This window comes from Homo sapiens, chromosome 19, assembly GCF_000001405.40.
Source record: "Homo sapiens chromosome 19, GRCh38.p14 Primary Assembly".
NCBI classification, from domain to species: Eukaryota; Metazoa; Chordata; class Mammalia; order Primates; family Hominidae; genus Homo; species Homo sapiens.
In genome coordinates, this window is record NC_000019.10 from 8,990,009 (window position 1) to 9,007,172 (window position 17,164).

Genomic DNA, 17,164 nt, shown 5'->3' on the forward strand with positions numbered 1-17,164 from the left:
TTGTTCTCTAGTTCGAGGAACTGAATGGGAGATAGGAAGGACTATGCTCCCCATTGCCCCTCCCCAGCCCCCAGCACCCATTATTCTGCTTTCTGTCTTTATGAATGTGATGACTCTAGGAACCTCACATAAGTGGGATCATACAGAATGTGTCCTTTTGTGACTGCCTTATTTCACTTAGCACACTGTCCTCAACGTTCACCCACATTGTAGCATGTGTCACAATGTCCTTCCTTTTTAAGGCTGAATAATATTCCATTGTGGGGGCCAGGAGTGGTGGCTCACGCCTGTAATCCCAGCACTTTGGGAAGCCAAGGCAGGCGGATCACTTGAGGTCAGCAGTTCGATACCAGCCTGGCCAACATGGTGAAAGCCCGTCTCTCCTAAAAATACAAAAATTAGGCTGGGCACGGTGGCTCACGCCTGTAATCCCAGCATTTTGGGAGGCCAATGCCGGCGGATCACCTGAGGTCAGGAGTTCAAGACCAGCCTGGCCAACATGGTGAAACTCTGTCTCTATAAAAATACAAAAATAAGCCGAGCATGGTGGCAGGCACCTGTAACCCCAGCTACTCAGAAGGCTGAGACAGGAGAATTGCTTGAACCCAGGAGGTGGAGATTGCAGTGAGCCAAGATCTCGCCATTGCACCCTAGCCTGGGCAACAGAGCGAGACTCTGTCTCAAAAAAGAAAAAAATACATATATATGTTATATATATATATGCAAAAACTAGCTGGGCGTGGTGGTGCCCTATAATCCCAGCTACTCAGGAGGCTAAGATGGGAGGATTGCTTGAAGCCAGGAGGCGGAGGTTGCAGTGAACTGAGATCACGCCATTGTACTCCAGCCTGGGCGACAGAGTGAGACTCCATCTCAAAAAAAAAAAAAAAGAAAGAAAAAAAAATTCCATTGTGGGGATGGAATATATTTTTTTAATCCATTAATCTGCCAAAGGACATTTGGATGGTTTCTACATTTGGGGCATTGTAAATAATGCTGCTATGAGCACCGGTGTATAAATACCTGCTTGAGTCTCTGTTCTGCTTTCAATTCTTTTCAATATATACCCAGAAGTGGTGTTGCTGGATTATCTGGTAATTCTATTTCTAATTTTTTTTTTAGGAAGCATCATACTCTTTTCCACAGTTGGGGCACCATTTAGACTCCCACCCGCGGTGCACAAGTGTTCTAATTTCTGCACATCCTCAGCCTCATTTGTTATAATATTTTTATGTTTTCCTGTGTTGTTTTGTTTGTTTTTGTAGCAGCCACCTAAACGGATGTGAAGCTTACAGTGCTCACATGGTGAATAATCTCTCCCTCCTTCAGCAGTCACACTTAACTAATTAATGTAAGTTGCATCCTCATAGGATGCACATTAAAACAATTCCAGCTTTCACCAGGGTTAGGAAGAGGGGCTTTGCTTTGTGTCACTGGCACCCACCCTCCTATTTCTGACAACCAAAAATGTCTCCAGATATGACAAATGTCTCCTGGGAGACAAAAATCACATTCAGTTGATAACCACTGTTTGGAGGCAGCATGTAATTTAATTCAGATTTTACAGTTACTCGGTCACATAGGGCGTTTATTCCCAAGACACTGGAGGTTCAGAGAGGTTTCCTTATTTGTCCAGAAAGTAGCAGAGGTGGGATTTGAACCCAAGCTGTCCAATATCAGTGTCTCCTCTGTTAACTGCTCTGTTGTGCTGCTTATAAAGTCATCATCCCAATACAAGGTCGGGCGCAGCGGTTCACGCCTGTAATCCCAGCACTTTGGGAGGCCAAGGCAGGCAGAGTCAGAAGTTCAAGACCACCCTGGACAACATGGTGAAACCCTGTCGCTACTAAAAATACAAAAATTAACCTAGTGCGGTAGTGCACGCCTGTAATCCCAGCTGCTCAAGAGGCTGAGGCAGGAGAATCGCTTGAGCCCGGGAGGCGGAAGTTGCAAGAGAGTCGAGATCGCACCACTGCACTGCAGCCTGGGCGACAGAGCAAGATTCTGTCTCAACAAATAAAGGGAACAGAACTAGACTCCTAGGAAAGGGAGGACCTAACACCCAGAGGCAAGGAGCAGGAGGCAGCAGGAAGAACCTCAGCAGGGCTCCTGCCTTGAACCCCTTCTGCCTGCCTGGGCTGGTTCCCTCCAAGGAGACACCTGGGGAATCATCTCCCAGCAATGGGAAACCTGCCTGTTTATGTGACAGGGTTGGTGGCCACACTCACAGCAGCCCCATCAACGCCATCTGCCTCTAGGACACTGTGGATATGGAGAGAGAAGGTGAGCGGGTAGATGAGAGGGTCAGGGGGAGGATGAGGACCGGGCTGTCTCTCCTGCCTGCTCCTGAGGAAGCCAGTGTTTGTTCATTTTTTTTTTCCCCTCTTTTGAGACAGTTTTGCTCTGCTGCCCAGGCTGCAGTGCAGTGGTTCAATCATGGCTCACTACAGCCTCCAACTTCTAGGCTCAAGCAATCTGTCCGCCTCAGCCTCCCTAGTAGCTGGAAGTATAGGTGCATGCCACCATACCCACCTAATATATATATATATATGTGTGTGTGTATATATATATGTGTGTGTGTGTGTGTGTGTATATATATATATTTTTTTATGGAGATGGGATTTCACCATGGTACCCAGACTAATTTCAAATTCCTGGGATCAAGTGATCCTCATCCCTCAGCTTCCCAAAGTGCTGGGATTACAGGTGTGAGCCACTGTGCTTGGCCTGTTTTTTGTTTTTTGTTTTTGAGACAGGGTCTTTCTCTGTCAACCAGGCTGTAATGCAATGGTGCAATCATAGTTCACTGCACTCTCCAACTTCTGGGCTCAACCAATCCTCCTGACTCAGCCTCCTGAGTAGCTGGGACTACAGGCACTCACCGCCATGCCAGCCTGCCAATATTTGTGAGTAAGGCAGAAGACACAGAGTTTACTTACACAGTCCTCAGATTCAAATCACCTTTCTCTTTTTTTGGGGTGGTGGGGAGACGGAGTCTCACTCTGTCACCCAAGCTGGAGTGCAGTGATGCGATCTTGGCTCACTGCAACCTCCACCTCCTGGGTTCAAACGATTCTCCTGCCTCAGCCTCCTGAGTAGCTGGGATTACAGGCTGGCACCACTACATCTGGCTAGTTTTTGTATTTTTAGTAGAGAACATGGGGTTTCACCATGTTGGCCAGGCTGTTCTTGAACTCCTGACCTCAAGTGATCCACCCGCCTTGGCCTACCAAAGTGCTGGGATTACAAGGTGTGAGCCACTGTGCCCAGCCCAAATCATCTCTTGAAGACTCATTTTCTTTCCTTCCTAAAATCAAGCCAATTGCAATCTTCCCAGAGCAGGAAACAAAATGCACAGTGGGAGGAAAATGAAAGAAGTGGACTCAGTGGGACTCAAGTCCCAATTACTCACTGTGTGATCTGGGGCAAGTCACTTAACCTCTCTGAGCCTTGTCTCCTCATATGCCCAACGGGGATAACAGCAGAGGGCTGTTGAGATGATGCAGTGATGTGATCCACCATGCAGGGTGAAGGAATTAGGACTTAATAAACTCCTGTTACTGTTTTTTTTTGGGGCGGTGGGGCGGTTTTTTGTTGTCATTTTGTTTTTTTATTTTTGTTTTTTGTTTGTTTGTTTTGAGACGGAGTCTTGCACTGTCGCCAAGCTGGAGTGCAATGGCGTGATCTCGGCTCACTGCAACCTCTGCCTCCTGGGTTCAAGCAATTCTCCTGCCTCAGCCTCCCAAGCAGCTGGGACTACAGGTGTGCGCCACTACGCCTGGCTAATTTTTGTATTTTGAGTAGAGATGGGGTTTCACTGTGTTAGCCAGAATGGTCTTGATCTCTTGACCTCGTGATCCGCCTGCCTCAGCCTCCCAAAGTGCTGGGATTACAGGCGTGAGCCACCGCCCAGCCTGTTACTGGTTTTTATTATTTATTATTATTTAATTATTATTATTATTATTATTTATTTTATTATTACCTACCCACGGAGCTGATGAGTGACGCCGGGGAGGAAGGGTCGTGGGTCAACTGCCTGGTGGCTCCAAGTGTTCCTTGGTCTGTGGTTTGGGCAAAGACCACTGCGTCGAAAGGCAGCCCTGTGGAGGAAGAACCAAGTTGGTTATCCCAGCAGGAAGTAGAACGAAAAACATAAAAAAAAAATTTCTTCTGGACTTGCTCTTCTTTCCATAGGAATCTCTGCATAGTGACTCGTTCATTTACCATTTCATTTATTTAATATTTATTCCAGACCCTCAGTCACTCATTCATCCAACCAGCAAATATGTCTTGAGCACCTTTTATACGACAGCTGATTCTGAAACCAACCCGATAGTCTCATAGACAGTATTTATATACCTATTTAAATACTTGAAACTGACATTTGTTATTGTTTAACTATTTTAGGTTTGGGGCTACGTGTGAAGGTTTGTTATATAGGTAATCTCATGTCACGGGGTTTGTTGTACAAATGATTTTATCACCCAGGTATGAAGCCTAGTACCCAATAGTTATTTTTTCTGCTCCTCTCTCTCCTCCTAACGCTTACCATGAAGTAGACCCCAGTGTTTTTTATTCCCTTCTTTGTGTTCATGAGTTATCATCATTTAGCTCCCACTTCTAAGTGAGAACATGCAATATTTGGTTTTCTGTTCCTGGGTTAGTTTGCTAAGGATAATGGCCTCCAGCCCCATCCATGTTCCCGCAAAAGCAATGATCTTGTTCTTTTTTATGGCTGCATAGTATTCCATGGTGTATATGTATCACATTTGCTTTATCCAATCTGTCATTGATGGGCGTTTAGGTTGATTCCATTGTCTTTGCTATTGGGAATAGTGCTGCAATGAACATTCACGTGTATATGTCTTTATGGTAGAATGATTTATATTTCTCTGGGTATATACCCAATAATGAGATTGCTGGGTCAAATGGTAGTTCTACTTTTAGCTCTTTGAGGAATTGCCACACTGCTTTCCACAATAGTTGAACTAATTTACACTCCCACCAACAGTGTATAAATGTTCAATTTTCTCCACAACCTTGCCAGCATCTGTTATTTTTTGACTTTTTAATAATAGCCATTCTGACTATGGTGAGATGCTATCTCATTGTGGTTTTGATTTGCATTTCTTTAATGATCAGTGATAGTGAGCATTTTTTTCATATGCTTCTTGGCTACATGTATCTCTTCTTTCAAAAAGTGTCTGTTTTTTTTGTTTTTTGGTTTTTTTTTTTTGATACAGTGTCTCACTCTGTCGACCAGGCTGGAGTGCAGTAGTGATCGCGCCTCACAGCAACCTCCGCCTCCCAGGTTCAAGTGATTCTCCTGCCTCAGCCTCCTGAGTAGCTGGGATTACAGGCGTGCACCACCGTGCCCGGCTAATTTTTGTATTTTTAGTAGAGACAGGGTTTCACCATGTTGGTCAGGCTGGTCTCGAACTCCTGACATAGTGATCTGCCCGCCTTGGCCTCCCAAAGTGCTGGGATTGCAGTTGTGAGCCACCGTGCCCGGCCTTTGCCCACTTTTTAATGGTGTTGTTTGTTTTTCTCTTGTAAATTTACTTAAGTTCTCTATAGATGCTGGATATTAGACTTTTGTCAGGTGCATAGTTTACAAATATTTTCTCCCATTCTGTGGGAAACTTACATTTGTTTTATCTGAGTTCCTTCCTCATTAAAGGACCCCCAGTCCTCTCAAAAAGTATCAAAGAAAAGAAACTCAGCAGATCATCATATCCAGACAATGAGATGTCAGACCCCTCATTCCTCATGATTGCTTCCTGACCCCTCTTGATTTCCTGTTTTACTACACGTAGTCACATTTCTTCCCTGCTATATAAACCTGTAATTTTAGTTGGTCAGGGAGATGGATTTAAGACTGAGCTCCCATTTTCTCACTGCAGCCAAGGAGATTAAAGTCTTCTTCCTTGGTAATAATCGTTGTCTCAGTGATTGACTTTCTGTGTGGTGAGCAGCAGGACCTAGCCTGGACCCCTGGTGTTTTGGCAACAATTCCAAGTTTGGGGCACAGAGTGAGGAACAAGACAAGTCTTTACTCCCTCAAAAAGTTTATGTCCAGAACAGAAAACCAAATACTGCATGTTCTCACTCATAAGTGGGAGTTGAACAATGAGAACACATGGACACAGGTAGGGGAACATCACACACTGGGGCCTGTTGGGGGTTGGGGGGCTATAGGGGAGGTATAACATTAGGAGAAATACCTAATGTAGATGATGGGTTGATGGGTGCAGCAAACCACCATGGCACATGTATACGTATGTTTGTTAACCTGCACGTTCTGCACATGTACCCCAGAACTTAAAGTATAAAAAAAAAAGTTTACATCCTAGTGGAGAAAGCAGACAACGATTCATCCAACAGATAAATAATTAATGTCCTTGCAGAGAGTGAAGGGAATTTTGAAGTCACTCTACCAATGGGAGAGAAGCATAATTTTCCATAGAGTCATCAGGGAAGACTTCTCATAGGAGGTAATATTTAAGGAGGGCCCTGAGAGATGAGAAGGTACTTATCACAGGGGAAATGTGCTTGTGATGGAGGGAACTATATATGCAAAAGCCCAGAGGCTGGAATAAACCTGACCCACTCGAGAAATTTCAAGAAGGCCAGGGTGGCCAGAGTGCATTGAGAAAGCACTGGAGTGCTTTCTGGCTGGAGTGTAAGGCGAAACCAGCTGGGTAAGCAGAGGTCAGATCTAATGAGGAGAAAGAGGAGGAAGGGTTGTAAACCAGTGATGTATGAAGTTTAGATTTTCTTGGAAGTGCAATGGAAAGTCACGGAGGATTTGAAGCAACGGGTGAGGGTTGTGACCAGGTTAGCATTATTAAGAGATAATTCTGCCAGAAAGCAAGGAAGTGCTCAAAGACTAAGGAGATGATGTTACAAGGACAAAGAAGAGGCTATAAAGTCCTCAAGATTGGCCAGGCACCGTGGCTGATGCCTGTAATCCCAGCATTTTGGGAGGCTAAGGTGGGTGGATCACGTGAGGTCAGAAGTTCCAGACCAGCCTGGCCAACGTGAAACCCCATCTCCATAAAAATACAAAAATTAGCTGGGTAATCCCAGCTACTTGGGAGGCTGAGGCAGAAGAATCACTTGAACCTGGGAGGCAGAGGTTGCAGTGAGCCGAGATCATGCCACTGCACTCCAGCCTGGGTGAGAGAGCCAGGCTCCATCTCAAAAATGGATGAATAAATAAGCAAATAAAGTCCTCAAGATCAGAGGCTATGACTTCAAACTATACTACAAGGCTATAGTAACCAAAACAGCATGGTACTGGTACAAAAATAGACATATAGACCAATAGAACACAATAGAGAGCCCAGAAATAATGCCACATACCTACAACCATCTGATCTTCAACAAAACTGACAAAAACAAGCAATGGGGAAAGGACTCCCTATTCAATAAGTGGTGCTGAGATAACTGGGCTACCCATATGTAGAAGAGAGAAAAAAAAAAACAAAAAAGGAAAAAGACCATGGGATGTAAAAATGTGAATGACTGAAATTTTGGGGAAACTTTTATTGGATGTGTATTTTCATACCTACAGCCCTCACCAAGAAAATACACACAAACACACACACACACGGTCCTACTGAATGGCACTAAATTATCCACATACTCCTGATAGATTATTTCACTCCCTACAAACTTCTGAGATGGAAGAAGCCAGCTTCCTAGGGCTCCAGGGAGGAGAGGAATTTATGATAAGATAGAGCAATCCCAGTTTCTTAGACTAACTAGCCAAACCCCTGTCAACCTAAATAGCAAACAGAGACAGACTCTCTAAAGGAAAATATGTTCATTTGGGAATAGAACATTGCAGTGGGAATATGCATGCCACTGTAATATACGTGCCTATTCAGGAAGACAAAGCTTTTTAGAGGAAAAATTGAGGAGAATTGCATAATAGTTTTGAAATATTTGTCCTTGGCTACAAAGATCGATAACAAGGATAACACCTTTTCTGTAGAGACAGCGTCTTGGAAGGCTGGGCACGGTGGCTCATGCCTTAATCCCAGCACTTTGGGAGGCTGAGGCGGGCAGATCACAAGGTCAGAGTTTGAGACCAGCCTGGCCAATATGGTGAAACACTGTCTCTACTGAAAACACAAAAATTAGCCAGGCATGGTGGCGGGAGCCTGTAGTCCCAGCTATTCAGGAGGCTGAGGCAGGAGAACCACTTGAACCCGGGAGGTGGAGGTTACAGTGAGCTGAGATCATGCCACTGTACTCCAGCCTGGGTGACAGAGCAAGACTCCATTTCAAAAAAAAAAAAAAGAGAGAGAGAGCAGGCTGGGTGCGGTGGCTCAGGCCTGTAATCCCAGCACTTTGGGAGGCTGAGGCGGATGGATCACGAGATCAGGAGTTCAAGACCAGCCTGGCCAACATGGGGAAACCCCATCTCTACTAAAAATACAAAAAATTAGCCGGGTGTGGTGGTGCGTGTCTGTAATCCCAGCTACTCGGGAGGCTGAGGCAGGAGAATGGCGGTGAACCCAGGAGGCGGAGGTTGCTGTGAGCGGAGATCACGCCATTGCACTCCAGTTCCAGACTGGGCAACAGAGCAAGACTCCATCTCAAGGAAAAAAAAAAAGACAGACAGCGTCTTGGGTTCAAGGGATCCTCCTGCCTCAGCCTCCCACACTGCTGGGATTACAGGTGTGAGCCACCGTGCCCGGCCTGCAGGAGTATTTTTTGCGTAAGGTTGAGGTGGCCTTTGTGCAAGGTTGTGGCTTTTGGAATCTTTTGTGATAGTTGTTATCAGGCATACCAGCATGAGAACCCTCCTTTCATGGCCCTCCGTGACTCTATTTGCCCCCTTCATTCATGCAACACATATTTATTGCACAACTACTATGTGCCAGGTACTGCAACAGGCTGCATTTGGCAATGTCTGAAGACATTTTTGGTTGGTGGGAGTGCTGCTGCCATCCCGTTGTAGGGAACCTGGGATACTGTTTAGCACTTGACCAATATATGGGACAGCCCACCCTACCTCCCCAAAGGATTATGAGACCCAAATCCATTGACATTTGTGCTGGGATTGAGAAACCTCGCTTCAGTGGGATTGGTCCAGGTTGTAGCATACAGGGTTGTTGCCATGGAGACAGGCAGATAACGAACCTGTTCAGTGGGTTGAGAGCAGCATCCAAAATAAATAAATAAATAAGAGAATATAATAGAATTAAAAGGCATCAGGGGCTGGGCACGGTGGCTCACGCCTGTAATCCCAACAGTTTGGGACGCTGAGGTGGGTGGATTACCTGAGGTCAGGAGTTTAAGACCAGCCTGGCCAACATGGTGAAACCCCATTTCTACTAAAAATACAAAAAATTAGCCAGGCATGGTGGTGGGCACCGGTAATCCCAGCTACTCGGGAGGCTGAGGCAGGAGAATTGCTTGAACCCAGGAGGCAGAGGTTACAGTGAGCCGAGATCGCGCCATTGCGCTCCAGCCTGGGCAACAAGAGTGAAACATCTTCTCAAAAAAAAAAAAAAAGAAAAGAAAAAAGAAAAAAGTATTTTCATCATGCATCTATAAGCAAAACTGGTCACAATGGTAGGATGGTACTGGTACACTGGTACACAATACATTGCACACTGGTACACAATGTGCAATGTATTTCTTACCATGGATCCCAGTCTAAAAAGACTATTAGACTTTTTAGCTAATAGCTAATAATTAATGTTAGCTCCTGCATCAGCTCATCGTCTGATAGGCAGCACCTGCCTTCCTCCCTACCTCATCTCTTTGCCTCGTTCTCTCAATACTGGGAGTCACTGAGAAAGAGGATGTCTCAGATCACAGGGGAGCTGGGTCAGAATCACTAGGGTCTTACAGACCCAGTCTGCCCAGGGTCAAAGCCCAGCCCTACCACATAGCAGCTATGTGCCCTTGGACAGGTTGCATAACTAACTGCGCCTTGGTTTCCTTTTCTGCAAAATGGAAATGATAATAGGACGTACCTCCTATTGTCCTCCAAGTTGTTATGAGGATTTAATGAATTCATATCTGTAAAGAGCTTAAAAGAGTGCCTGGTACATGTTAGTGTTCCCTGTTAGCTATTATCATTATCATGACTTGCTCTAGAATAGCACTTACCCCAGAGTGTAATTCTTTTTATTATTAGGGGAAGGGGGCAATGTGGGTTCAGAGTCACTGAGAGGGGGTGGATCAGAGCCAGGATAAGGATGAGAAGCCCGGCTCAGATTCACTGTGTGTTGGGGACAGGGTTGGCAGAGCTGCAAGTGCTAGGACAAGTGCACCAAAACAGGTCTGACAAAGGGTTAAATGAAGCAGATGGGATTGTTCAGGGTGGGATGAAAGGTCCAGGGAGGGTGGGGACAATCAGGCAGGCTGCCTCCCTGCACCGCAGTGTTTGTTTCCTTGACAGGTGGGAGGCCCAGCTCCACTCAGGTATGTGGCCAGACCAGCCAGGGCAGCCCCCTGGACCTCTCATCCCAGGCAGAGATGAGGAGAGGGACAGGGTGGGGCCCTCCAGCCCAGGATGGCCCCGGCCCACCTCCTCTCTCCCACCCAGGAAGGGCTGAGCCACTTTGGACAATGGGCTGAGTCCCCTGGCCCCATTCAGCCCCACTGGCCTGGCCTGTCCCCACAGGGACTGCTGGAGGTCCTTGGGGGGATGTTGGCACCAACTGCTCCTTTGTCTTGCTACTTACCCTAGAAAGAACAAGCTAAGGGCTCTCCTCCCCAACTGAGGAAAGCAGGATATTTTGCCACGAGCGGCAAAGGAGGACCCCTGCTGCCCCAGAGGAAGAGGAGGGAAAACATATTTACCCACACATGCACACACACAAACACTCATGCACACTCTCTCACACTTATGCACACACAAAAACTCATTTGCATGCATGCACACACACTCTTACACACGGACACACATGCACGAATACAAACACTCATGCACACACTTAAACTTATGTACATACTCACACAGTCTCACACATGTGCAGACTCAGTCACTCATGCACACGCTAATACACACACAAATGCACATACATATGTATGCAAAATACATATGCACACACACACAGCTACACACTCACATGTAAGCATTCAAACACACCCACACATGGACACACATGCTGAAAAACAAGCACACCCTCATTCATGCACACCCACACACCTATGCACACATGCATACACACATGCACACACATATTCACACTCGCACACATATTCACACATGCTTATGCACACACGCTCAGTCACACCTGTGCACACTCAGACACTCATCGCACACACTTGTAGACACATAGGTGGATGCACACACAAGTATGCACGCAAGCACTAAGTTGCACACTCACACATGGACACGTGCACACACTTATGCACATTCACTCTAACACACACATGCTCATGCAGACACACACAAGGCACACACAGACACATAATCACACACTTATCCACACGCATACTCACTGGGCAGGAACTCAAGTCCTAGAGTTCTGGGTTTCATCCTGGTTCTGCCCCAACTCGCTTCACTGAGCCCCAGTTTCCCTACAGTTAAAGCAGAAATAGCAGCATACACCTCCCCAGGCATTGCAACAAGGTCAACCTGAGATGAGCTAGTCGTGAATCTGTAACAAGAACCCCACCCCTCAAGTCTTAGCTTCTCAGTGAGGGCCTTTCCTTGAACCCACTTTATTGGAAAGAGCAATGTGCCCCCACAACACACTCCAGCACCCCCGAGTCTCCATCCTGTTTCTTTTCTCCTTATTCCCTTCTTTTCTGGAGTGCAATGGCTCAATCTTGGCTCACTGAAACCTCCATCTCCCATGTTCAAGCGATTCTCCTGCCTCAGCCTCCCGAGCAGCTGGGATTACAGGCATGCGCCACCACACCCTGCTGATTTTGTATTTTTAGTAGAGATGGGGTTTCTCCATGTTGGTCAGGCTGGTCTCAAACTCCCAACCTCAGGGGATTCACCCGCCTCAGCCTCCCAAAGTGCTGGGATTACAGGTGTGAGCCACTGCACCCGGCCCCCTTATTCCCTTCTTAACAATGCATCACGTACTTACTCTGGTTTTGGTTTAAGGTCATCCCCCTTTGCTGAAAGTGTCAGCTCAGCAGGGATCTTTTGATTTGCTCACAGCCATCCCCTCATTGCCTAGAACAGTGCCTGCACACAGTAGGTGCTCAATAAATACTCATTGAACAAATTGAATGAATGAATCTCTTCAAAAGTATTGACTAAAGAGGTAAAGGGCCCTTCTTGATAGAGTAAAACTGCAAAGAGGACCCTTCCTTGATATCAGTGTGCAAAATCTCACATCAAGGGACCTCCCCTCCACAAAAAAAGAATAATAAAGAGTCCTTCTTTTCCAGGTTGAGAAAGGAGGGGATGTCTCCTCTCCTGGGAAGAGTGACGACATCTCTAGAAGCCAGGCATGAAAGAAGAGAATGAAAACTCCATCCGGTGTGGATTGAGGCAGAGACCCTACTCACTTCCTGTGGTTCCTCAAAAAATTAAAAATAGAACTATGAGCCGGGCACGGTGGCTTACACCTGTAATCCCAGCACTTTGGGAGGCCGAGGCGGGCGGATCACTTGAGGTCAGGAGATTGAGACCAGCCTGGCCAACATGGTGAAACTCCCCGTCTCTACTAAAAGTAGAAAAATTAGCCAGGCATGGTGGCAGGTGCCTGTAATCCCCGCTACTCAGGAGGCTGAGGCAGGAGAATCACTTGAACCCGGGAGGTGGAGGTTGCAGTGAGCTGAGATCACTCCACTGCACTGCAGTCTGGGCAACAGAGGAAGACTCCGTCACAAAAAACAAAAAAAGAAACAAAAAAAAAAAACCTGTGAGCTGAGCATGGTGATTGATGCCTGTAGTCCCAGTGACTTGACAGGCTGAGGCAGGAGGATGGCTTGAGCCCAGGAATTGGAGGCTGCAGTGAGCTATGATTGTGCCACTGCACTCCAGCCTGGGTGACAGAGCAAGATCTTGTCTCTAAAATAAATAAATAAATAAAAGTAGAACTACCATATGATCCAGCAATCCCACTTCTTGGAACATATACTGTGAAAGGAAAATAAATCTCGAGACCCCAAAATCACAAAGCCAAAGGGAAAAGTCAGGTTGAGAACTACATCAGGCAAACCAGCCTCCCATTTCATTCCCAAATAAGATAGCTACCAAATTGTTTGTTTGTTTGTTTGTTTGTTTGTTTTAGACGGGGTCTCCCTCTGTCGCCCAGGCTGGAGTGCAGTGGCTCAGTCTCGGCTCACTGCAACCTCCACCTCCCAGGTTCAAGTGATTCTCCTGCCTCAGCCTCCTGAGTAGCTGGGATTACAGGCGCGCACCACCACGCCTGGCTAATTTTTTTTGTTTTTAGTAGAGATGGGGTTTCAGCATGCTGGTCAGGCTGGTCTCGAACTCCTGACCTCGTGATCTGCCTGCCTTGGCCTCCCAAAGTGCTGGGATTACAGGCGTGAGCCACCGCACCCGGCCAATAGCTACCAAGATTTAAAAAGCAACATACCTCCCTCAAAATTTGCCCACAAGGAAATTCTTTGTGGGACTCAAGATATTTACCCTAAAACAGTTCTGTTGAATTTCACCTTGGCAATGTAAATGGACAGCTTATCTTTACAGATGCGGGACAGAAAGTCATCCCTCCGCTCGCCTGAGAGAAATGCATATCTGATTGCTTCCTCTGCCCTATTGTTCATGTAAAAATGCAGATTTATGGACCCAGACTAAGGTTTAAGTGACTATTCCTCTACCTCCCTCTCACGTGTAAACTGTGTATTCAGTGAAAGGCTAATCAAAGACTCAAAAGTAGCCGGGTGCAGTGGCTCACGCCTGTAATCCCAGCACTTTGGGAGGCTGAGGTGCGCGGATCACAAGATCAGGAGATCGAGACCATCCTGGCTAACACGGTGAAACCCCGTCTCTAGTAAAAATACAAAAAATTAGCCAGGCGTGGTGGCGGGTGCCTGTAGTCCCAGCTACTCAGGAGGCTGAGGCAGGAGAATGGCATGAGCCCTGGAGGCGGAGCTTGCAGTGAGCCGAGATCGCACCACTGCACTCCAACCTGGGCGACAGAGCGAGACTTAATCTCAAAAAAAAAAAAAAAAAAAAAAAAAAAGACTGAAAAGTATGCAACCATTTGTCTCTTACCTACCTATAACCTGGAAACCGGCCCCCTCCCCACCCCCCCGCCCACGCCGCTGCCACTTCAAGTTGCCCTGCCTTTCCAGACCAAGCCATTGTATCTTACACATCTTGATTGATGTCTCATGTCTCCCTAAAGTGTATAAAAACAAGCTGCACCCTGACCACCTTCGGCAAATGTCATCAGGACCTCCTAAGGCTGTCACAGGCGTGTTCTCAACCTTGGCAAAATAAACTTTCTAAATGGATGGAGACCTATCTCAAATACTTTGAGTTCACAATCCAAACAAAATCAAATCAGTATCTCCAAGAGACATCTGCACCCCCCACGTTCATTGTAGCATTATTCAGAGTAGCCAAGATATGGAAACAATTTAAGTGTCCACCAATGGATGAACAGACAAAAAAATTGTGGTTTATCTACAGTGGAATATTATTCGGTCTTTAAAAAGAAAGACATTCTGCCATATATGACATCATGGATGAATTGGAGGACATTATGCGAAGTGAAATAAGCCAGTCACAAAAAGACAATTACTGCATGATCTCACTCACGTGTGGAATCTAAAAAAGTCAACCTCGTGGACAGGTGCGGTGCCTCATGCCTGTAATCCCAGCACTCTGGGAGGCTGAGGCAGGCAGATCACCTGAGGTCAGGAGTTCGAGACCAGCCTGACCAACACAGTGAAACCCTATCTCTACTAAAAATACAAAATTAGCCAGGCATGGTGGTGCACGCCTGTAACCCCAGCTACTTGGAAGGCTGAGGCAGGGAAATCGCTTGAACCCGGGAGGCGGAGGTTGCAGTTAGCCAAGATCATGCCATTGCACTCCAGCCTGGGCAACAAGAGTGAAAATCCATCTCAAAAAAAAAAAAAAAGGAAAGAAAGAAAAAATGCTAAAAGAGTTGGTCTTAAATGTTCTCACAATCTCACTATTGCCCCTGCGCCGGCACTAACTGAGACTCAAACTCCTCGTTGTCGTATTTGTCGGAATAGTAAATTTGTTTGTGGGACATGACCGCTCCATCTGCGAGCCTTCAGCCCCAAGCTGCCAACCTCCAAGCAACTCCCAGCAGCAGGCAGGTATAAAGTTTTAGTTATGCAGGATGAACAAGTTCTGGAGACCTAATGTACAGCATGGTGACTATAGGTAGTAACACTGTATTATATACTTGAAATATGGTAAAAGAAGGCTGGGAGCAGTGGCTCACGACTGTAATCCCAGTACTTTGGGAGGCCAAGGCAAGCAGATCACCTGAAGTCAGGAGTTCAAGACCAGCCTGACCAACATGGGGAAACCCCGTCTCTACTAAAAATACAAAATTAGCCTGTAATCCCAGCTACTCAGGAGGCTGAGGCAGGATAATTGCTTGAACCCAGGAGGCAGAGGTTGCAGTGAGCCGAGATTGCACCACTGCACTCCAGCCTGGGCAACAAGAGTTGCTCCATCTCAAAGAAAAAAGAAAGAAAGAAAGAAACATGCTAAAAAGAGTTTATCTTAAATGTTCTCACAACATAAAAAAAGGTAATCATGTGAGGTGATGATGGGTATGTTAATTAGCTTGATTGTGGTAATCATTTCACAAGATGTACATATATCAAAGCAGTGTATTGTACATGTTGTATATGTATATGGTGGGATTGCTGGATCATATGGTAGTTCTACTTTTATATAAATACATGCAATATTTATTTTTCGAGTATAACTCAATACAGTGGGGGGTGGGGGGGAAGTAGTCTATTACCTTGTTAATTCATTCATTCATTCATGTAACAAATATGTCTTGTACACTTACTATGTGCCAGGTACTGGAACAGGCTGAAGAGAGGAAGTGTCAGGAAGGAAATCCGTATAGGAGAGCATCTGGGATGGAAGAGTGACCCTCATGTCCTGGTCTACCCAGGGCTTTCTTAGTTTTACTAAAGTCCCTCATCGAAGGAACTGCCTCAGGCTCAAGCAAACTGGGATATCCTACTGGTCATCCTACTGCGATCTGTGTCCTCCTGACCTGGCATTTGTCCCTGCGGCTCTGGGACTGTGATCAGTTTAGGTCCCTGGGCACAGCTCTGAGCTGCAGGAGTGAGGAGCTTTTGGGAGCACCTCCAAGGTGGAGAAGAAGAGGCTGGTACCTGGATTAGAAGTCGGGCCTGGATAATGGCAGGAAGATCAAGAGAATGGGTTCAGTTCTACCCTGGCTACCTGGGGGTCTTCTCTTTGAGCTTTTTTTTTTTTTTTTTTTTTCCTGAGACAAGGTCTCACTCTGTTGCCCAGGCTGGAGTGCAGTGGTGCGATCTCAGCTCACAGCAGCCTCTGCCTCCAGGGTTCAAGCGATTCTCGTGCCTCAGCCTCCCGAGTAGCTGAGGCTACAGGCGTGTGTCACCATGCCTGACTAATTTTTGTATTTTTTGGTAGAGACAGGGTTTCACCCTGTAGGCCAGGCTGGTCTCGAACTCCTGACCTCAGGTGATCCACCTACCTCGGCCTCCCAAAGTGCTGGGATTACAGGCGTGAGCCACCGCACCCAGCCCTTCCTCTTTGAGCTTCTGTTCTCTCATCTATAAAACGGGGATGGTCATCTGGACCACTGAATCTACAATCAGCATGAGTGCATGCTTGGATAATCTGCTATGTCTGGCCTTCTGGCCCTTGAGGCTCCAGAGAGGTAGGAAGAGTCTCCTTCACTTGCTCAATCCACCCTGGGAGAACCAAGTGACCAGACGAATCCACTGAGCATAAAGAATGCCCAGGCCGGCCGGGCACCATGGCTCAGGCCTGTACTCCCAGCATTTTGGGAGGCTGAGGCAGGCCGATCACTTGAGGCCAGGAGTTCAAGACCAGCCTGGCCAACATGTTGAAACCCCATCTTTACTAAAAACACAAAAATTACCTGGGTGTGGTGGCACACGCCTGTAATCCCAGCTACTAGGGAGGCTGAGGCAGCAGAATCACTTGAACCCGGGAGGCGGAGGCTGCAGTGAGCCGAGATCACGC

At 46.6% G+C, this 17,164-nt stretch overlaps 1 protein-coding gene across 2 annotated transcripts in view; it reads right to left on the reverse strand.

Annotated features, from left to right (window-relative positions):
- Positions 1–17,164, reverse strand: part of MUC16 (mucin 16, cell surface associated) — a gene marked incomplete in the record, with an annotated part of 216,908 nt that overhangs the window by 141,165 nt on the left and 58,579 nt on the right. For both annotated transcript variants that reach the window (NM_001414686.1, NM_001401501.2), the window contains 1 exon segment: positions 3,987–4,100. In NM_001414686.1, coding sequence (NP_001401615.1) covers positions 3,987–4,100 — 114 coding nt within the window.